Source organism: Homo sapiens, chromosome 8 (genome assembly GCF_000001405.40).
Source record: "Homo sapiens chromosome 8, GRCh38.p14 Primary Assembly".
In the NCBI taxonomy this organism is placed as follows: Eukaryota; Metazoa; Chordata; class Mammalia; order Primates; family Hominidae; genus Homo; species Homo sapiens.
In genome coordinates, this window is record NC_000008.11 from 138639507 (window position 1) to 138663025 (window position 23519).

The window sequence follows — 23519 nt, forward strand, 5'->3', positions numbered from 1 at the left end:
TATTTAGTCCTCTTCAGAAGAGGTTTATTAAAGAGTCATTTCAAGGGCTTAATTCCCCCTGTTGAAAATAAGGAAAGAAACTTCGCCCCACTCAGTTTACTGAAAACACTTACTTTTGAAAACTTGTTATTGTTAGTTTTTTTTTAGGGGGGGTCTCTTTGAAAGGTATGCAAATACTTTTAAAAGCTAAATGAGACTTTTGCTAGCTTTGTGACCCAGGAACTCAGCAATGTCTTTCTGAAGGACCTAGGAACCATCTCTTTGAAATAGAATCAGCAAAGAGATAGTATTCCTATCCATCTCCCAGTTCCTGTGAAACAGTAGAAGCCCAACTTCAGCAGATGCCTGGCTCCAAGTTGCAAATCTATTTCCTGCCATGAAGATGTGAGAAGTTTACCTTTGCTTTGAATAAGGTCAATTAGTTAATACAGACACATAGACGGCCACCGCAATTACCAGGTGAATCTAGGAAGGACATGCGGTGTCATTAAATCCTCTCACTTGAGGACTAGTTATTGCTTATCTTGACAACACGTATGTGATAGGTGGTTGTATCAGCTTGGCTATCTAAAAGAGTAAGATTTCTTTCAGTCTTTGCAATCTCTTAGCATATTGTCTGTAATGCAAATCACATTCTGGTTTAATGCTATTCAATAATAAAATTGTTTTCTTTCTCTTCTACCTTCGTGGAAAACCTCTCTGAGTTGGGAGATTTTGTTTTTAATTACATTTTTCCAGAACCATCATGTGCTAAGCACATGATAAAACAATCATTTGGAAGGTACATTCATACCAGGAATTGCTCTAAGAGTGCTGTCCTTCATGAACACACTGAACAGGCAATTTTCTCAAAAGGTTTTCAAACTTTTGAGGGCAGGGACTAAACTTTCCCAAGTTAGTAACTCTCTACGACTCTCAGAACAAACCCTTCTCCTAAACTTTTACATGCTGTTGTCCTGCTTGGAAAACCTTTCTCCACCAATAGCTGGTAAATTCCTAACTAACCCTCCAATGCAATTAAAATCCTGCCTCCTCCAGGTGGCAACTAAAATCCTACCTCCTCCAGGTGGCCTTCACAGGTTACCCCTTGTTCCATGGTGTTAGTTTTCTTTCAGTCGTTTACTCTTCTACTGACAATTTGTTGTGGTTGTTGTTAACTCAAATGAAGCAAGTATTATGAGGACCACTTGCAGTTACATGTATTAAATGCTTCCTACCTGCTGTGATTTGTAAATTCCCCCTTGTTCAGTTCTCGCATTCTCATTATGAGACAGATTGTACAATTCTTTTTCAGATGAGGGACCCAAGGTACCAATGAGGGACCCAAGGTTCAGAGAATAATAAATGCCCAAGTCCTATAATTAGCAAGGAAAATTCACTCAGCTAATAAGAGGCAAAGTGGGTTGGGGACCACTGGCTTCCAAAGCCCAGGCCTGTGCCCACAGGCCTTGTTGGCTTCCTGCCTCCATCAGACATTCCTAAGTGTTCGCTGCAAGCTTGTAGGTCTTTCTTCTCTGTCACAGCATCAGGCTATGAAAGGAATGGCCCATATCTGACCTCTCTATATACCTCCTGACTTGAAAGGAAACTGTTAAGGTGATGCTTGGTGAGAATCTTTCAGAACCGTGGCAGTTACAGACGGAAAGAATTTTCTGCTCTAGGAAAGAACATGGAGTAAGTGGCTCTGGGTTATTTTCTAGGCAGGATGGGAATCCCAAGGCTTTTTCAGGTAGTGCCAATGGCAGCAGGTATTATCTCTGCCTCCTCGGAGTCATCCATACCCTCCAAATGAGGACTTTTGCTCATTGGGTGTCTCTGGATCCATGCCAGGCCCCCTTTAGGTCCTATTACTGGTTGGTGAACATGCTATAAGAAGGAAATAAAAACGCTTTTCGTAGGGGACAGAATAGTCATCATTTCCAACCCAAACAAGGCATTTACGTCTAACTCTGTAGAATACATGCTCCCAGGGTCATTGCTGTGGTTACCATCTTGTTGCTTCTTCCTCCTTTACACGGATCATAACCACAACTGCAGCAACGATCTCCAGACCCTATATCTTAAAGTCAGTGTTTTATGTGAGTTCAAAGTCCTAGAATGGAGCTCTGTAGTTGACCGTGTGGCATGAGCCTCCTCATGCCGGCCACTGAAGACAGCAGCTGCAAATCTGTAAGATAAACCTTGGGGAAGTTACTTCCCCGATGCTGCATTGCAACTGCAAACAAAGGAACCAAACCCTCTTGGCAGTGCAGGAGACCAATGAATGCCCAGAGCCTTTGGTTATGAAAGGATGCTGACAATGATTGTAAGTACTCCATCAGGGGTAGCATTTTCAGTTTACAAACTCATCTTCACATCCCCAAGTCTAGTGGAGATACTGTTTGATAAATGAAGTTGAACAGAGAGGAAATGAAACAGTCTTTCTATTTTCTGGAAAGTAGTGTGGGGTAAATGACAAGCATAGAAGCTGGCTTGGGTTTCAAGCCAAGAACCACAATAGACTGAGTCCTCAGAGGACACATTTAACCCTTCTGTGATGCATTTTCTCAACAATAAGTGGTGACAAGGGGCAGCTATTGCAGACAGGAGCATTAGCAGATATAGTGTAGACTAAAGCATTGCACCCCATTAGGAGCTGTCCTGGGTGCTGGTGTTGGTATCAGCTGTTACTAAGGAGTATGACAAGACAATAACTACTCAGGGTACTGAAGTTGGACTACTAGTGGTCAACCCCAGTTATACCACCCACTAGTTTTGTAGCTGTGGCATTTAATCTTGTTAAACCTTAGTTTCCTCATCTGTAAAGTGAAACAACAGCTCTGCCTCCTAGCATCATGCTGACAATTGCAGGAAATAGTAACCTGCTCCTTGGAACACTGAGCACTCTGCCCAACGCAACTGCCTGGGGCTCATCATGCAGGGTTAGATCACATGCCCCAAGGACTTCTCATGGTTGGAGTCACCATCCGCTCCTAAATGGAGCAAGAAGAACCCCTGTATTTCAGATGCAGCACTAATTGTTGTTCTTTTTTTCTGGATGGAAGCTTTCTGTTCTCAGAATATTTAAAGGAGCAAACCCTCCGTTGAAGCAAATTATAAGGGAACAAAAGCAGGGCCGTTACTGAAAACATCAGCACTGCATGCAGGCTTGGGCTGAAGGAGAAAACAGTCCATACTTAATGGAGCTAGCTCCTTATCTGTTTAATTGATATGATTTTACTTCTTTGAATAAAGACAATTCTAGCCGGGTGCGGTGGCTCATGCCTGTAATCGCAGCACTTTGGGAAGCCAAGGCAGGCAGATCAAGAGGTCAGGAGTTTGAGACCAGCCTGACCAACATGGTGAAACCCCATCTCTACTAAAAATACAAAAATTAGCTGGATGTAGTGGCATGCACCTGTAGTCCCAGCTACTCAGGGGGCTGAGGCAGGAGAATCGCTTGAACCTGGGAGGTGGAAGTTGCAGTGAGCCGAGATTGCACCACTGCGCTCCAGCCTGGGCAACAGAGCAAGACTCTATCTTAAAAAAAAAAAAAAAAAGGCAATTCCCCCTCAGCAGAGGCTAAGCCCAGCAGCCAGCAAGTTGACAGCAAAGGTTACTTAAGGATCAGTTAAAATTTGAAATTACAGGGCAAGAAGCTTGGCCTCAGCTGGTGATCCCAGAAAGAGAAGGTCATGCCCAGTAAGGAGTTCCAACATTTGAAGATGCTACACTTTCCTGATACCTTTCAATCTAACACTGCCCCGGGCAAATCTCTTGTTCTATCTGCACTGAGATCTGATATCTATAACTCCTGATGCAGGAGTCTTGCCTCTGTCAAAACCATCTAAATCTTCACAGTCCACGGGTCATGATCGCTAGATGTCTTAAGCTGTCAGCTAGGGTCTGGGAGACCTGGGTGTTTTCCATCTTGATATACCACAAGGCTGGTGCTGTTGTCACAACATAGAATTATTGGTTTTTTGCTTGCTTTTTACCAGTCATAATAACAGTGCCAACACCCTTTTCCAGGGCTGGGCCTAGGGTAAGGAAAGTGAATCACTCACCTTGGGTACTGAATACCTCTTGCTGAGAAGCCAAAAGAAATAATATCCCTATGCAATATAGATAGATAGATAGATAGATAGATAGATAGATAGATAGACAGATAGATAGATAGACAGATAGATTGCATAGGGATATTATTTTATATATATTTTAAAAAATTTTTTTTTCTTGAGTCTCACTCTGTCACCCAGGCTGGAGTGCAGTGTCACAATCTTCACTCACTACAACCTCTGTCTCCCGGGTTCAAGCGATTCTTATGCCTCAGCCTCCCAAGTAGCTGGGATTACAGGTTTGTGCTACCACACCTGGCTAATTTCTGTTTTTAGTAGAAATGAGGTTTCACCATGTTGGCCAAGTAGCTGGAATTACAGATGTGCACAACCATCCCTGGATAATTTTTGTATTTTTAGTAGAGATGGGGTTCCACCATGTTGGCCAGGCTGATCTTGAACTCCTGTCCTCATGTGATCTGTCTGCTTCAGTCTCCCAAAGTGCTGGGATTACAGGTGGTAGCCACCACACCTGACCCCTATGCAATATTTTAAAAAGCCAAAGTCAATCTAAAATAACTCAAGATGATTGAAATATCAAAATGTAAATGAACACAGGTATTTGACACTGCTGGAATTTGGCAGAAGTGAGTTAGGTAGGTCATTCAAGTGGAGGGTTGGGTCATGTCTTTATTTTAAATTTTGATATTTTGTTCCTCATGAAATGATTGCATTACTTTTAAATTTTATAAAATATTGCATTAAAGTATTATTTACCTAGGTTGCTGAGGTTTTTGGCTTCTTAAATTTTATTCCCAAATCCTCACCCTAAATATGCGGCTGCCACCACTGTGACCGTAAGGGCTAAAAAAGCTAATGTCAAATGAGCACTTACAACTGAGAAATAAAAATAAAATCCTAGGCCCCCCAACCAACTGTACAGACCCCCTCTTGGCCAAGGAGACCCAGAAAATCCTTAAAAACTGAGTTCCCAGCCTGACCACCATCTCTGGACCAGTTTTGGCCAACTCACAGAGCACGTGTAGTCAAAAGCTTTCATGTCTTCTGCTTCACCTTTTGACGTCAGAGGTTTCAAAACTTTAAAAACTCCACCCTTGGATCATGCTAATGCTGCCATTTTTTGAACACATGACCCATTATGAGGCATGAAACTCAATTTCCCATGCACATGTTTCTCCTTCTGTAAAGATTCATGACTTCTCCTATAGCTTTTTAAATATATTCATTTGGCCAGCCTGCTCAGCATAAATTCCTGCTGCTTTTACCCTTCCCTTGAGGCACTTGCTCTTGGTTTCTGCTGGAGGCTATGCTTCCCAGCCTGTGGGACGGACGGCCCGCAAGTGCAATCCTATGTGAGAAATAAAGATCTCCTTTCCAAGTCTGTGGACCTGAGACAGGACAGGTAGTCATGTTCTTGGGATGCAGCAACCGTGGTGACAGTAAGTACAAGCAACACAATAAGCCTCAGCATTCACATTATAATTGAGCTCATCCACGCAAAGCTATCTTCAGTAGGGACTTTCCCCTCTAGAGAGCATGTGCACTTTGATTTTGCCCATCCTCAAACTGACGCTTTGCTCATTATAATGGTAAAAAACATACCCCTGGGTGGAGATTTAAGATGCTAATGAGACATGTGACGTACGAACAAACATGTACAGCTACTGCACATGTACAGCCAGAGGACCACTCAGAACGTGCTTATGAGTAACGCCTCTTCCCACCTCTTTATGAATAATCATGTAAGTCTCCCATAAAGGGAGTCTCCCTAATGCTGGTCTTTGCTATCTCATCCCTGCGAGCAGCCCGCCCTGAATCCTCTCTCTCTCAGGCATAGTGTCTATTCTGCCCTAACTTTCAAAGTATTCTTTTTCTTTTGCAATAAATTACTCGATGTTGCATCTCCTTTGCTGTGTGTCTCTTGTTTAAATGCTTTTCAACCAAGGAGACAACAACTGAGGTATCACAACAGCCACACTTTGTCATTCTTCAGTTGATACAATATACCAGGCACTGATGGGAGCATTTTGCCCGCAGTTGGCACAGTAATAAGCCTGTAGGCTCATAGTTTTCATAGTCCCTAGTTAACTTTAGGAAACAAAAGGCCAGAAAGGTTAAGAAACTATCCCAAGGTCACACAGCTGAGATGGAATTCTAACCCCAAGGACTGACTTCTGAGCTTTCTCTCCTATTGACAATTTTATGCCACCTCTTCTACCAGATGAGGCATGCTATGTCCAGCCAGGCCTCAGGAAGAGACATAGGGACACATTTGGCCCTGAGTGTTGGTGGGGAAGGTGTTCATTCTGCAGCAGCACAGAGGCCACAAGAGATAAGGGAGCACACTCTGGGGAGCACCAATGACAGCGGGAAGGGAATGAGGGTGTGGGTCTATCTGTCCCCATACCAGCACTCAGGCAGTTTCTTCTTAGAGCTAAATACTAACACCACCAACAGCTCAAACAGCCCCAGCCCTAGAACATTTGTTTTGACAGCCAGAGAGCTTCCCTGCCTATTTTGGGGTTCAGATTATACCCCCCTTTCTCTCAGGCTGTCCTCCCTGGCTTTGGGAAACCACAGAGCCACAGAGCTGCTTTTAGACAGATGCCTTATCACTCACATGAGAATAACAGTGCTCGCTTGCATTCAAAAAGCACTTTCCTAGTATTTTTCAACTGAGTGCCACATCCTTTTTATGTATCATATCATTCCATTTTAACAAATATCTGACACCATTTGTATTTTTGTCATTACTGGGAGTTAAGTGGAGGCGTCTGACCACAAAACTCATGTCTTAACCAGTAGGTCCCACACAGTCCAATTCTTCCATGCATTTCATACTTTCCAACAAGCAGTTGTTTGTAAATGAGCAACTGGGATTCCACACATTGAAGTGACCTGCCCATGGTCAATAGGATAGTCAGTGCCATGCTTAGACCCAGAACAGGGGTTTTCTGATTTTAAAACCACTCCTTTACACTGGCCATCACTCTTCCTTAAATTGAGATTAACCATTGAGATGAGCAGAATAGATCCATGCAGATGGTTATGAAGTCTCACTGACCTGTGGTCCAGCTATTCCTGGGGGCCCTGGTAGGCCTGGAGGCCCAGCCTCTCCCTGTATCAGGGATACAAGAAAAAAAAAGAAAACAAGAATGAGTATCAGGCCCACATCCAGGGTCATCACCATGCCATCAGCCTCGTACCTCCCTTCACTGATTTTCCACTGGGACTTCCGTCAGCTACCCCTGCCCCTAGCCTGTCTGAGCAAAGGGTATAGGCAAGTGGTAGTACTGAGTGTGGCTGTGCAACCATGGCATGACCCACCATTAATATGGTTAGTTGGTGTGTCTCCAAGATAGCCTGATGGCCCCTGCCTCCCATATTTGCAACCTGGAGCAGCCGTCCTGCCATTTGTTCCAGGTTTGGTCTCTATGGCCCACAGGACATGGCAGAAGTGATGGTGTGTACTTGCTGAGATTAGAGTATAAGATGGCTCACTCCCACCTTGGCCTGCTACCATCCCCCGCCCCCCACCTTGCACTTTTTCTATCTAACCACTCATTTTGGGGAAAACCAGTTTCCACGTCTTGATCTCACTCAAGCAGCTCTGCAGAGAGGCCCACCCATGTGGTAAGGAACTGAGGTCTCCATCAACAGCCACAAGAGTGAACCTGGATGGAAGGGGATCTTCTACCAGATGGACCCTGAGATGACTGCAGCTCAGGGCTTGAGGGTTGCCTCATGAAAGACCTGAGCCAAAACAACCCAGCGAAACCACTTCTGGATTTCTGCCCCAGAAATTTGAGATAATAAATATTTGTTGTTTTAAGCCACTAAGTTTTGGAGCAATCTGTAATGTAGTGATAGATAACTAATACAGTTGAGAAGAGAGAAAAAGTGTGCTGCACTAAGAAATAGAGTCTGAATTATGTAGGATCTCATTTGTGTGTGCGTGTTTGTGCTTTACAAATATACGTGCATGTATAATTATATTGGCACACATTGCATGTTCTTTATAGTTACTTTCATAACCATTTTCTTATGGTTATTTTCACTCTAAGTTCTGTAATACCTGGAGTGTCAGCTGCTTGACTCTGAGAAAGGACTACCCAGGTGGGAGGGTGGGGGTTCGTGGCCCCCTGCCAGGTCCTGCCAGAAGTTGTGGAACATTGAGTGGTTCTGAACATCAGAATCACTGTGTAGCAGTTGTAGTAAACACACAGAATACAAGCCTCATTCCCAGTGATTTGATGCAAAGCAACTGTGGTAGAAAGGTCTGGAAAAGACTGATCTAAACATCTCCCTAAGTGATTTAGAAATGCCACCCTGACAGCCTCTGCACTGATATCAAGAATCTTTGAGGTTAAGACTCCTGGAATAAATTCCTAAAGACCCATCTATCTTAATGAACTAAATGATCTTCTGAGCTGTTTAAAATTAAGGCAATGGGAAAGACCCATGACATGGATGTAAGTACATTCAAACATGTTTATTTACTATCTGATAAAACATGATACAAGAAATGCTGCAAATCAAATAAAGGCCTGTTTTTAATAAGCTGATCACCAGGAGAATTTAATTAGGTGAAATTATTCTTAGTCAAATCAGCTTTAGCACTGGCCCCTGTTCCTTCCAGGGTTCCAGAGTGTATGGAGAAATTTCGAGGACTGTGGCACGCCCACGAGTGTATGGAGAAATTTCGAGGACTGTGGCATGCCCACGGGGTCTATGCTCAAATATCCTGCATAGCTGAGCTGGTGGAAAGGGAACAAGCACTGCTTAAGGCTCAGAGAGTCAGAATAAAGGTCATCTTTCACATCTGTGTTTGTATTCCCTGTACCATGTATGGGTAAAATACAAACCACAAATAAGAGGCTTAACTCTCTCTTTTTTGAAAAGAAAGAGAATCTCACCTAAGACTTTTTCTTAAAGCATTTACTTTAGAAAACAGATCATTGTCAGTTCTTTATCTGTCTCTTTGAAATGTGTGTAAATCCTTTTAAAAGGCAAAGAAGGCTTTTTTTTTTCCAGTTTGATGACCCAGGAATGTCTTTCTCTAGGAGTTAGGATCCATCTCTGTGAAATATGATCAGCAAGGAAGATCCACCACTATCTCCCAATGTCTAGGGATTGGTATCTCCCCAAGTTGCAACACTATCTTCTTACATAAAGATGCAAGAAGTTTATTTTCACTTTGGATAAAGCCAATTAGCTAAGACGGAGGGCCATCTGAATTACCAGGTGAATCTAAGATGAACGTATGTGACAAATAGCACTGTCAAGACTTCCTACTTGAGGACTAAGTATTGCTTATCTTGAGAAAATGTCTGTAATGGACTTTATCTGCTTAGCTATATAAAAGAGTGAGATTTCTTCCTGTCCTTACCATCTCTTAGCAGATTGTCTGTAATGCACATTATATTCTAGTTTAAATGTAATTCAATATTAAAATGGTTTTCTTTCTCTTCCACCTTTGTGAAGAAGTTTTCTGGGTTGGGAGGAGATTTTGTTTTCAATTCTATTTCCCCAGCACCCATGAAACTCCCTACCTCTGTTTTGCTCCAGGACAGACCATGAACTCCTTTAGAATAGGGTCTCAGCCTTTTTCTTCTGAACTTCCCCATTGTCTACATGTTGACTGACATATAAGACACATGTAATGGGGTGTCATAAACAGGTAATGACAAGGGATTGAATGCATGCATGAATGGATGGATCCATTGATTGATCTATGAGTCTGAAGTGCCTATCTTGGTGCCTATTACATAGTAGATAGGCAAAAGTTGTTGGATGACAAAAGAAAGGAAGGGAGAAAGACAAGGTGGAAAGGAATGTAACTGAATGAGTGTATGTTTCCAGGTGTCAGCATGTATTGGGAAGTCACAATCAACATCTTCTTAAAGTGACAAAGACCCATAGATACCCACTTCCTACCATTTCCATAGCTGTATCTCACAACCCAGTACTCCTCATCTATCTTGAATCTTGAACCCCTCAAACCCTGAACACCTTCAGAGGCAGATGGGGCAATACTGAGATCTCCAGAATGATATTTTCATTGTAATGATAAAAATCGAGTTTCCCCTTTTCTCCTTACCTTTTTCCCTTCTGTGCCTTCTCTCCCTGGCTTTCCTGGGACACCTTTGTCCCCTTTAAAACCTGGTAGACCAGGGAGGCCTGGGGGGCCAGGAGGGCAGTCATTGCACACATCCTGAGAGTGGGGAGAGAGGTGGGGACAAAGAGAGAATAACTAGCAAATACAGTTTCAAAGCAAAGCAAAGTAGCCCTGGCTGCTATCTCTCCAGATGGAGATTTGGTTTTTAAATTCCAGAGAAGATAGAAAAGCAAACAGGTGGACTGAGTCATGATCTAAATACTCTTGTGTCTAAACTTTGCATTTTCCCTTTCTTAACTAAAAGTTAGGTTTCAGCACTGACATATCTGGATATTCCTCCATTTCCCCCTATTTCCACCCAGACTTCTGGAAGGATAGCCTGAGGAAATGATGTCAAAAATCCATGTAAAATGATCTGTGAGCAGCTGAAAACATTAACAGTGCAGATTTAATACAAACATTTAGTATTACTAAAAATAGCATGCTCTGTCCCTGATGTTAGAGGCCAAGCTGGGAGCTGAATTCTCTGTTCTGCATTTGCCCGTCAAGTGGTTTCTGAACAAGGAAGAAGGATAAACAAGGCAACAGGCACACACCCTTGGGACTTTGTTTCTGTGATACAATGCCGACTCTGACCATGCTTAGCTTTATTTTTTACCCAAGGCAAGCACTTAATCAATGTTCCCTGGAATTGGGCTTTGTTCTACTTCTTTAAGGCAGGTAAATATTGCTCCTCGAGTAAATTTAAAGTCCTCTGAGCCCAGAGCATGTGTTTTCTGATTAGTTGGATCTTACAGTTTGGAGCACACTATGTGCCAAATAAAACTCACCTAACTGTACTCCAGCCTGCCTCATCCACCTGCCTCTTGGTTTGCCCCCTCCATGGCCTTCTCTCTAATCCTCCCTCTCATCCACCCTGCCTCTCTCCTTGTGATCGGAGTTTAATGGATAACACAAGTAAAGCACTTAGAATACTCTCAAGAAAGATTAGATAGATAGATAGATAGATAGATAGATAGATAGATAGATAGATAGACAGATAGACAGATACACAGATACATATAGATAGATAATGCCCACACATTTAGCCATTATTGTTAGTTTATTTATTCACTCAGTCACTCACTCATTGAAAAAATACTTGAAAGTCACCTACTATGTGTCAGGCACTGTGCTAAGTTTGGGACCACAGTGAGTGTGTGTCTTGAAGAGCTCTCAGTTCAACGCTGTCAACTGACACAAATACATGCACTAACTATGGTCTTTTGAAAGCCCCACCAAAGGCACCTGCAAAAATACGCGGAAGCTGCACTGTTCATAGTCCATGAGGTGAAGCTGCAGGTGATTTTGTTTTCTTCTTGGTCTCCGATTTCAGGATGGTCAAGTTTTTCCATCACAAAAGCATCTCTGAATGGCCCACCTTCCTTTTACTTGTTTCACCTACTCAGTCTTTGGAGATTCTTTAGAAGTCTCCCCCTCCAAGAAGACTTCCTGATTGCCTCAGGATGGGGACAGGCTCTTCCTGCTCCCAGAAATCTCAGGAATCCTCACTACTGAAGTACTAGTCTCCTTGTTGGAATGGTCTTTTATTCCATCCTCTCTCCACCAGGCAAACAGAAGGTGTAAGCACTCAGAGGACAGAGGTAGAATTATCTTTGCTTGCCAAATTCATGGCAAATATTCTTCCACAGAGCATGAGTGCTATAAATGAATGAATCAGGCATCCCAACTAACTAACCAACTGACTGACCGATCAACCAATTAACTGTCCACCTGACATTCTGGCGACTTGTGCCATCTTCTTTTAGTGGTTAGTTTGCAAAGCTGATTGGATTATTTGGAGGATGGAAAGAGTTAAATACTGGGATATATAAAGCAAGAGTGTATGAGATATTCAGTTTACTTAGATGAGCTGCTTTTGATAACTGTACTTTGCTTGAAAGAGTAGCAGAGCTGAAAGGAGCTCGCCTCTTTGTAGACCTTCTCTTATTGTACTCTAAGATGAGATGCATCCATGAAACATTGCAACTGTGGATGGATGCACGGATGGATGGATGGATGGATGGATGCAAATGGAACTAGCCTGATGACACCAAAAATTCTAGCCACTGAGATATTTCTGGACTTAAAGGGTGCCCTGGTGATAGGAAGCCATTCTTTGCAGTGGGATCCATAACATAAAAAGATTATACCTGAGTAATACAAAAATCTTATGACTTTCCTATTTCTTTCTAATTTCTGGCAGGGCTCTCAACCTGGGCCTGTTGCATACTATGCAGGATTATTTCCTGAAGACCAGAGCTGTCGGAGACCCAGACCTACCTGTGAGGGAGCTAGACTCAACTCACTGACCCAGTTCTGGAATCCAGTGAGCATAGGGTGAGATCACCCCAATCTGCAGTCTTACAGATGCTCACCTTGGCTCCAGAGCTCCTGGGAGCCCCCCGAGTCCCTCCTGGCCCTGCACCAAACTCCAGCTCAGAGGGCAATTCACACTTTCTCTGAATGTATTGAAACTGGATAGGGTTGTGTTTCCAACCAAATGGGCTTGCCCATACGCCACTTGAACCTCTGTCCACCTGGAATCATGGCTTCATCTCCCTGAGTCTCCTTATCTGTGAAATGGGGATGTCAAAGTCTTATGATAAATGAGACAATTAATGGAAAATGCCTGACACTGTCCTGACACAGAGTGAAAGCATAGTGACTTTTAGCTGCTACATGTGCCATTACGGTTTTGTTTATTTTCCTCCCTAAATCTGTGGCCTTGCCCCATTTGCAGATCAGATGACCGTGATCATCAATACTAGCTCCCAATCTCTGGGCTTTCTGAGTTATCTCAGGCAAGTCAATTAATCTTCTTGAGTCTATTTCCTCACCTGTAAAAAAGGATCATTCTCCTACTTTAGGAGATTGTTGTGAAATTTAAATAAAATAATGCATACAAAGTGCCTAGCATATTTCAGGGTTCATTGTATGTAATCTATTAATGTTCTTTCCCTCTAGTCTCTACCCCTTCCTTTGGTCTAAAATATTTTCTTTTCCTTTTCTGGTTTTTTTTTTTTTTTTTTTTTTTTTTTTGGAGACAGAGTCTTGCTCTGTCACCCAGCTTGGAGTGCAGTGGTGTGATCTAGGCTCACTGCAGCCTCCGCCTCCCAGATTCAAGCAATTCTCCCACCTCAGCCTCCCAAGCAGCTGGGAATACAGGCATATGCTACCACGTCTGACTAATTTTTGTATTTTTAGTAGAGACGGGGTTTTCCCAAGTTGGCCAGGCTGATCTTGCACTCCTGGCCTCAAGTGATCCACCTGCTTCGGCCTCCCTAAGTGCTGGGATTACAGGCATGAGCCATCGCACCCCGCCGGTCTGAACTATTTTCAACAAACTCAGCTTGTTAGGTCATTGCATGTAATACTGTACTTTGTGTGGTTTGAAGTACCAAGTAAGCACTCAACAAAATGCTTACTACATGGAGAAAATAACAGTCATTGCTTCCCAGGAGAGGAAATGACCTCTAGGTCATTTCATCCACCTTCTCACTGGACATCTGAATCCTCACTATGATATTCCTACCAAAGAGTTGTGTAGCCTTCATCTCCGAATCTCTATGTGACAGGCAGAGAACTCACTAGCTGCCTGGACTTCATCAGATAGCTGTCAGGAAGTTCTGGCTCACGTAAAGATGAATCGGATAGTAGAGAGGCTACGCGTAAGGCTTCAGAGTTGGTCTCACTGGGTTTGAGTCTTGGTTCTACCACTACAAGGTCTGTGATTTGAACAAGTGTCTTGCCCATCTATGCTTAACCTGTTCATCTGTAAAATGCAGACAGCAACAGAAACCACTCACAGGATTGTTTTTGAGGATTTAATAATATAATATTTCTGCAAGGGTAATGGAGACAATTTTAAGATGACCTCCATGGGCACAGATCCAACTATGGACATTCATTTAACAGGGACTCTTAGAACTTACTACCCAGTCAGTTCTCCAACTACCAGAAAGAGATATATGAAGTTATAAAACTCTCTGGGGCAGAGACAAATGTTCTGTAATACAAGATGTCTCAGCAGGGGAGACATCTGCCACCAGCCACCTAGACTAGACCAGCAGACTCTAACTTACAACATCGAGATGACAGCCAGTGACTGCACAAAACAGGAAGATGAACATAGTCTGTTCCCCAGACCTGGCCAAATCCACTCATCCCAGGCTGTTGACTATAGAATTTCCAGGCAAAGCTCAGCTCTGTGGGACCAGTGAGTCTCCACAGGCTACCCTGCACGTAGGCGCTTGCATTCCTTCTGGGGTTTCCAGCTGCTCTGATGAGCACAGCTGTATCCTTTCATAGTGAGGAAATATTGATTTGACTAAATATCTGTCTCAGTGCTATGGCCGTGAGGAATGATGCTTAGCCATTTCAGTGCTCACTCTTATTATTGACATAAAGATTGGGACATCTTGAGGTTGAAATCCTCTGGGTGAGGGGTCAGGGGTGGAGATGGCTGGTGGCTGATGAAAACCTAGCTCCTTCTAGAGTGAGGGAATTAAGAAAAAGAATCCAGGCTAATAAAAGCCTGTAATAAACAGAAGATTGAATCAATAGGTAATGATTTCTTGTCATGTCCTTGAATGTGGAAAAAAAATAACTACCGCACTTGTCAACAAAAACTGGTAAAGATTGTTCTGCTACTTATTTTTTAATAAAAGGTGTAATTTTCCCATCAAGGCATCTCAATTTACAGTGAGATTGAACGCCCCAGACTTCCGAGAAGGTTTTCTTTTTCTTTTGTTTTCCTCTCTTGGCTTCATGTATGAAGTAGGTATTTTCTGAAATCACCCAGTGTCTTTTAGAGAACAAGAGGGAAGGAAGGGACCAGTCACAAAATGCAGTATTGACCCTTCACCCAGAGTTACGAAGAGGCTTGAAGTACAGACAGCAGAAGGGGCCTCCTCACTTGCTGCAGCACCCCTGTTCTTTCTGAAGTATAGACCTTACCTCTCTCTCCCTCGTTCACAGCCTTTCACAGCTCTCAACATTGAAGACCCCAGGTCCTTGGTCAGGCACCTGGGCACCTGTGCAACTTAGCCTTCGGGTGTAACTCCAGCCATGCTGTGCCCTATCTTGGCCGAGTTATGTTCAACCTCTCAGGACCTTTTCCTCTCGTGGGAAAAGCAAATGTGGTTCTAGAAACCAGTCAAGTCTGCACTCACATCTGAGTTTGTCCTGGATAAAAGGCCCAACAGCCCACATCACCTCACTGAACCTGCGCTCTGGTCCTGGCCCAGCAGGACCCAGGTCCAGGCTGTTTGACTCTGCCGCTGGCCCTCCTTTGAGAACATGAGTTAGTCCTGTCTGGGTTAAAGGCCAGCCTCTGGTGTCAGCGAGAAAGGATTTTATTCTTAGGATGTCCTATTCTATTCCATTCCATTCATTGACCCTCACAGTATCTCAGGCTTCTTATATGCTGAATAACACAACAAATAGTATTGATCCCATAGAATATTTGTGAAAATTAAATAAGGGAGGCACATTAAACATTTAGTGTAGCATAGCTCCAAATAATGTTCTGCTCTATATCTGCAGTGCCCAATAAGGCAGCCACCAGCCACATGCAGCTATTAAGTATGTGTAAAGAAAGAGGTTGGAGTGATCAAGCACCTAAATTTTTAATCGCATTTATTTATTATTTTTGAAACAGGGTCTTGCTCTGTCACCCAGGCTGGAGTGCAGTTGCATGCCCATGGCTCACTGCAGCCTCTACCTCCCGGGCTCAAGTGATCCTCCTACCTCAGCCTCCTGAGTCGCTGGGACCACAGGCACATGTCACCACATCAAGCTAATTTTTAAAAAACATTTTTTTTGGTAGAGATCAGGTCTCTCTATGTTGCCCAGGTTGGTCTTAAACTCCTGGGCTCAGGGCTTAAGCTATCCCCACGACATGCTGGGATAATAGGGGTGAGCCACTGTGCCTGGCCTGTATTTAATTTTAATTAGTTTCCATTTAGATTGCAGCATGTGACCAGTGGCTGTTGTGTTGGACAGGGGGATTTAGCACATCACCAGCCACATGCTGAGTTGTCAACTAATGGCGCTGCTGTTATCGTTAATACTACCAAATAGTTGTTCAAAAAAAACCCCAACTTATTATCAAGATCTCCAATCCCGCCATCACCATTTTCAAAACACATGCGCATTTATTGTATGCTTTTACCTTAGCCAAGAGATTTATGTCCCCTGGAGACAGTAGTGAAGAGAGGCCCTGTCAAAATAAAAAGAAACAAACACATACGTACATGCATATATACAATAAATCCCAGGCATCTTCAGAAAGCAAAAGGACTTTAAAGTGTGACACAATACGTGACACACTGCGCCGTGCGTGGGATACGGACAGCCCAGTGGATGTCCCAAGCCTGGGAGCCACAGAAAGAACACTCCTCCAAGACAGCAACTGCACAGACTGCCAGTCCTAACCAAGTCTGACTGACTTTGGCCTTTGGCCATCCCTACTCTCCTTCTGTTTGCCCCTTCTCTTCTCCCAGCTTTCCCTCTTCCCCCCGACCACCAAAACCTGATAGGTCATATGAGTACCGTGGGAGGCAAAGCGGCAAACTGTTTGCAATCTGGATTGTCATGGATATCCCAAAAGAGCAACAGCTGTTACTATCAGTCATCCACAACCTAGTATGAATTTAAGCCAATGTCTTCAGCTCTCCCAGGTGAAACAGCATTTTACACGTCATTTGTCATTATGGCTTAAAAGTCTTTAATTCCAGAAAGGGTATTTCAGAAATCAGGAATAATTACAGAGCCTCTACAGGTAGGTAGGAGTCTGCAGGTGGATGAATTCATGCTCAGACCCACTGTGAGTTGGAGCTACGATTGTGGCTCTTACAACCACAGCCATCCTGGAACCCAAGACAGGGTGAAGGCTCAGAAAATATTTGGGTGCAAGGAACATAAGGCTAGGAAGGAAAATGGAAATTAAAAGGCAGACCGTAAAGGAAAGAAGGGATTCTTAGGTAAGACTTTGAGACTGGTGTGCTACTTTGCAAAATTCTAAATTTTGCAAAGAAAAAGGAATACCAGAAGACCCAGGCAGCAGAGGCAAGGTGGTAGACTTAACAACTAAATGCATGGTGGCTGATTTCTCCTCATTAAGTTTGAGTTTAGGTGTATGAATTACAAATTCAGTCTGCCATTTTGGGAAGGCTGAAACCAAGGCAGTTTTTCAGGCTATTTCCCCATCCCTGACCCCATGGGCTTTCGGTGCCATCCTGTGGTTAGCAAAACCATGAAACAGGTAACACGAGTTTGTTCAAGGTAACTGCTGCAGTGGCCTGAAACGTGCTGGTGGGGTTTTGTGTGTTGATAAGCTCAGAAATTCAATCAATGCTCTGGGCTATTGAAAGAGGGACTGAGAGAGACTGGGGTTGAATTAAATCAGATTGCAGGTGCTCAAGGAATTATCCGCACTGCAGTGAAAGCTCACTTAGGATGCAGCGGCTAAAGCCAAGGCCAACACCTCCCCAGTTATCTGAGTGACGTCCTCTGAAGAAAAGACAACCTTTGCTATAGCAATTTATTAAAACTTTTAAAAGGGAAAGGTGTTTTATTTTCAGGCCGTATATGTTTCCCCTAGGAAGTTAATAATAGGAAAGGGTTCATATGGTTCAAATTGGTATATTTTAATGCTGCTGGCATTCTATTACTAGGGATATTCTTACATTGCCATTGAGTCCTTTGCATAATTAGAGTCAGTTATATCAGACACAATGGCTGGGCACCAGTCACAAAGGGAGAGAGAATGAGGAGTGGATTTTCAGTCTAGGTACAGTGTGGTCTTGGATACAATTTCATTAACATCTTGCTGTGACTCATTTCTGTAAACCTCACAAGTCTCAAAAGACACACAGGACCAGCATGTGGATGGAGGCAGTGGCCTTGTGAAGGTGGACTCAGGATATGGCAGACTGCCGTCTCTGCCTTCTATGAGTCAGTCACTCATGTCACCTGTTGTTGGGCCCAATGGGCTCAGAGAACAGTGGACAGTGTGGGGATGTAGATGCCAGTTTACATCCTACCTAGATCCTCCCCATTCTCGGTGCATCCTCATCCCTGGTGCTGGTTATACAGCCGATAACTGACTGATGGCAGGGTGAAAAGAGCTGGGCCTGGCCTCAAGGTGGGACAGCTTGGTGGTTCCATTCACACTCCAGAGTTCCATGTGGGATCAGGCAGGGAATAGACTTGACTTGAACACACATTTTTTACTGTTTTTTTCCCCTGTCATGTCCTGCTTCCCTCCATCCTCGTAAGTTTCTCCTGAGAGCACTCCCTCAATCAGTCACTAGCACAAGAATCCCCACTGCAGGCTGTGCTTCCAGAGAACCTAATCTGACACAGAAGGAGGATCCTGGAACAGGAATTCTATGCTTCTCTCCAGGTGGGTGCAGCACTGGAGAAACACTTTGGGTCACTCTCTCCACCCACTGAGGGATGGAACTGTGTAATTAATAATTAGCTCAGCAGGCCAGTGTTGTCCAAACCCTGCACATTCCAAAGAAATGTCCAGGCTGCTGCCTGGTTCCTGGGAATTACCTCTACGCCCTTGGAATGTCCTGCCTGGTAAGAGTGTCTTTGTTTACCTGTGTTCTTGGGTCAAGCCAGGTAGTTAATGCTAACAATATGATTTATGGTGGGTGCCTTGGACACATACCTCAGTCTGACCTCCAGAGAGGATGAAGATCAGCCATGTGGGCACTCCATGCCTGTGTGACCGACTCCCAACATAAACCCTAGACACCAAGGTTCCGGTGAGCTTCCATGGTTGCAACACTTTGTGAGTATTGTCACACACCGTGACTTGGAGAATTGAGTGCTGTCTGCACAACTTCACTGGGAGAGGACAAATGGAAGCTTGTATTGGTCTTTCCTGGACTCCTTCCTGTGCACCTTTTTCCTCTGCTGATTTTAATCTGTATCATTTTACTGTAATAAACCATTGCCATGAGCATAACAGCTTTTCTGAGTTCTGTGAGTCCTTCTGGGAAATGACTGAACATGAGGGAATCCCTGAGACAACCATGCCTTATCTGATTAGTGAGCTCAGAGATACCTGAGAGCCAATGGGCCATACTTGGGACCATTCGGGAGGAGTATGTTCAGTTAATCTAACAGATCTTCTCTCTTCTCTCTTCTCTCTCTCTCTCCCTCTCTCTCTCTCCCCTCAGCTCTCTGTTCTGCTGCTGACCGCCTGAGAGACAATCATGATTATCCACATCATCAGCTGCACTATGCTGACTTCACTATCTTTGCAGGGAGATGTCAAAGTCCAGATCTGGCAGAGGTCATCTGAACCCCCGCTTGACTTCTGGCCTGAACCTCACTCTCCCTGCACTTCACCAGAGCTTTTCACTTTGATAATGAAGTGGCTTCATTATAAAGTGAGGTTTATTTGGCTGTTGCAAAGCTGACTCTACAGGGGAGGAAACAGGAGTAATTAAGATGTCCCTAACTTCCAACAAGACTTTATGCTCCTCTCATTGGAAGGTGTTCAGTGAGAAGTTTCAGGACCCTTAATGGCAGACCAGGATCCCTGTCCAGGTCTCTGCTGTGCCCGCCAACTGAGATAAGGGATGGGGGGTCATCCACACCCACAGGGACATCTGAGCCTTGGGTCCTTGCCTGGAATTTGTAGCAGGTCAGGCTTACAAAAGAGATAGGCAGCCTCTCAGATCCATCTCAAGGTGAAGCTTCTGCCCAGGTGAGCATCTCACTTTCTGAAACCAGACTTAAAAACTCACTCTTGAGGCCTGCGATTCCCCAGTCTTGGTTGCTGCTGTCTCTTCCATCTTAGGCAGCTTCTTCCCAAGGACTCATCTCTCTCTCCATCCGCACAGCTGCCTCCCACTCTCTCAGGCCAGCACATCCCCACTGCTCCTTCCCTAGAGGGTCCACCTATAGCCAGGCTACTCAGCTAAACCATTGGGGCTTCTCTGGCATTGGAAACTCAGTCAGAGGGTGTCCCAGGAGATGAGGGTGCCTCGCATCAGGGAAGCCTATATATAGGACTCTCGGGCTGGACTGAGGCCACATTGCCAAGGAACCAACACTCAGGGCTGTCCCCATCTCCGCAACCTTTCACAAATTCCCCTGGTCTCACTGTGAGGCAAGAAAGAACGTTTCTTCCATGTTAAACAGATGGCAACTGGGAAGGCTGACCTCACCCAGTCAAGCGCTAGGAAACGGGCAAGTTAGGGATCTGCAATGGGTGCTGCTGTTGCTCATTTGCTCACCCCAGATCCACTTTTCACCCTTCTCTGTCCCGTTCCATGCCTGGGAGGTTAAACCCCTGGAATGTCTCCCGGGCTGGCTTGCCTGCTGGCCCGCAGTTGAACTGCCCAACTCGAGGCACTGTTAGGAAACTGGAGGGTGGGAGACATCCCTACCTCCTGGCCTTGGGCCAAGCCTTCTGACAGCGGTGTTGACCCATGACCGAGCTCCTATGTGCAATCCCTTTCTCACCATTCTACTCTCCCTGGGCTTTGAAAACCGGCATAATGGTGGTAACGACTTCCCACTGTAGTTTATCTCTGAGTCTCACAACATCCCATATTAGTTTCCTCTGCCCACAGTTTTGTCAAATGTTCCTTTGTTAAAACCTCTTGAACTTTCTGAGTTGCATTTTTTCTCTTGCTTACGCCCTGACTGATAGTCAATATTCATCCAGAACCATAAGATGACATACCGGCTTGCCAGGAGGCCCTCTTTCTCCTGGATTTCCTGGTGCACCCTAAGAGAAGAAGGAAATAAAACATTAACTGTGATAAGCACACGATCCTGACCCACTCTACCCACACCCTCTGCCAATCTCTCTATCTGCTAAGTGTAACTCAGTGGGGAAAAAAAATCATCAGACCATGAGGATTGGCACCAATAAAAATGCGTGGTTTCTAATCTCAGCTGAATACCCATGGCTTCCCAGGAAGAATTCGACAATGACAACCAATGTTTAGAACTACCCCCACAACTCCTGTCCTAAACACAAAACTAAAAACAACTCATGCACACAGAACATGTGCATGCACGCATGCACACACACACACAGACACACAGACACACATACACACATACACACACATACACACACAGACACACACACACATACACAGACACACAAACACACAGACACACACATACACAGACACACAAACACACACATACACAGACACACACACAGACACACAGACACACACATAAACACACAGACACACACGCACACACACATACACACACACATACACACATACACATACACAGACACACACACGCACATACACACACATATACAGACACACACACACACGCACACACACCCACATACACATACATACACACAAACATACACACACACACACACAGACACACACACCCTGTCTTAAACTTTCCCAGTGCTTTCCCAAACAAGTGGAAGGAATGGCTTTGAAAACTAGAAAAATACTCCTATTAGACTGGCTATAAGAATGCTGAGAGTGGAACAGTGAAATTTGAATATTTTGAAGCAGGAATAAGACAGTAACCTTCTCTTTGGAAACAGAACCCAAGGAAGAGAAGGACATTTTGTTGTTCCTGCTTATAATGAACTAAAACTACAGAGATGAAAAGTTGTATGTCTAAGCAATAAATACCACTGCTTACTAGTGCCAGACACCTTTGTCCTATAAGGACTCATGGTTGTCATTTACCATTTGGTCAATGAGTATGGATCAAGTACCTTCTATGTGCCTGGCACGCTGCTGGGCACCAGGGACCATGAGGATGCATAAGACACAGGGGCTCCTTCTTAGAGCTCAGAGATGGCTGAGCAAAGGCCAAACAATGGAGACAAGAGATGACTGTCATTGTCACAAAGTGGGAAGGAACACATCCTCACAATGAGCATGACATACATCTGCGGAATTCCATGGAAAAGAGAGAGCCATTCCAGGGAAGGGTCAGGGGCAAGTCCCTGGAGAAGGCAGTGCCTGATTCGAGCAGAACTGACTAGGGTATGTAAGACATTGACCAAGAAATTAGGGAACATTGTGTGGGATACCCAGGAGTTGAACAGATCTTGAAAACTTAACACAAACATAGGAAATAAAACTGGATAATACAAAATTATGAACCACACTCAACAGAAGAGCAAAAATAAAAAGCATGTCCATGGGGCTTCCTGGAAATCCTCAACCGGGCTACAAAGTTGGCCACATGGTCAAAGGAGGCCAGGAGATGGTGGAGGGCGGGCTTTCAGGGGTCATGTAAGGGCCTTCACTGAGTCCACGCCATTTCTCTGTACTTACGTCCCGGCCGGCTGGGCCCTGGGGGCCAGGGAATCCAGGTAAGCCTCGTGATCCCTGAAGAAAAAGAAAAGAAGACACTGACACCCTACAATATTTAAGCAAATAAGGACACACCCTCCTTGGCAATAGTTGGCTCTCCTTCAACACATGGTCTGTTGCTATGAGGAATCTGATGCAACATGTGTGCCAAAGCACCCTGCTCAGAGCTTACTCAACTGACTGTACCCTATGGAGGTATGTGCTCGACACACAGAGAGAATGCTCTGGAAAATCTTCATTTTGAGCCTGACAACTTGGACCCCATTTGTATAGTTCCCTTGCTTGAGTGAAAGAGACAGCTCCTGTGGTGAGATGGGCCTGAGCTCAAACCCTGGCTCACTCCTTTCATGTCCTATGGATAACCAGCCCCGAGAGCTCTAACTAGGTGGTTAAAGAAGTTTCCTTGTGCAAGACCCAGCACAACACTCAGCATATGCCTGGCGATTACAACTCTTTGTAAGAAAATAATTTCTAGCTGCAATTTTCTGGACAACATCAGGAAACGGCACAGATATCTTTCATTATGGATCTCATTTCCCGTAAGATTTTTCCTTAAGTTGGTCTAAAAGTGGGAATTCCTGGCAGTTGCTGGAACTGTGCTACCGGGCTGCTCAGGAGCTGACCCTGCATCTCCTGGGCCTTCACAGACCTCCTCTCACATGACCCCTCCATCTAGAGTCCCACCTGTCTTGCCTCTACTTTGCCATAACTTGCTCTGAAATCTCACGTCTATCAGTTCACTACGTAGTGCCTCAATTTCTTCATCTATAAAAATGGGTATAAGGAGCCCTGTAGCCCTGTGCTGGGCATGGTGGCTCCCACCTGTAATTCCAGCTACCGGGGAGGGCGAGGCAGGAGGATTGCTTGAACCCAGGAGGCGGAGATTGCAGTGAGCCAAGGTCGTGCCACTGTACTCCAGCCTGGTTGACAGAGCAGGACTCTGTCACTCACACACAC

At 44.5% G+C, this 23519-nt stretch overlaps 1 protein-coding gene across 12 annotated transcripts in view; it reads right to left on the reverse strand.

The window, feature by feature from the left end:
- COL22A1 (collagen type XXII alpha 1 chain) overlaps positions 1 to 23519 on the reverse strand; it is a 325807-nt gene that overhangs the window by 51272 nt on the left and 251016 nt on the right. For all 12 annotated transcript variants that reach the window (XM_017013150.3, XM_011516886.4, XM_011516884.3 and 9 more), the window contains 5 exons: positions 22524 to 22577; positions 20930 to 20974; positions 16391 to 16438; positions 10159 to 10272; positions 7123 to 7176 (listed from right to left, as the gene is read on the reverse strand). In XM_017013150.3, coding sequence (XP_016868639.1) covers positions 7123 to 7176; positions 10159 to 10272; positions 16391 to 16438; positions 20930 to 20974; positions 22524 to 22577 — 315 coding nt within the window. The remainder of the gene's footprint in view (positions 1 to 7122; positions 7177 to 10158; positions 10273 to 16390; positions 16439 to 20929; positions 20975 to 22523; positions 22578 to 23519) is intronic.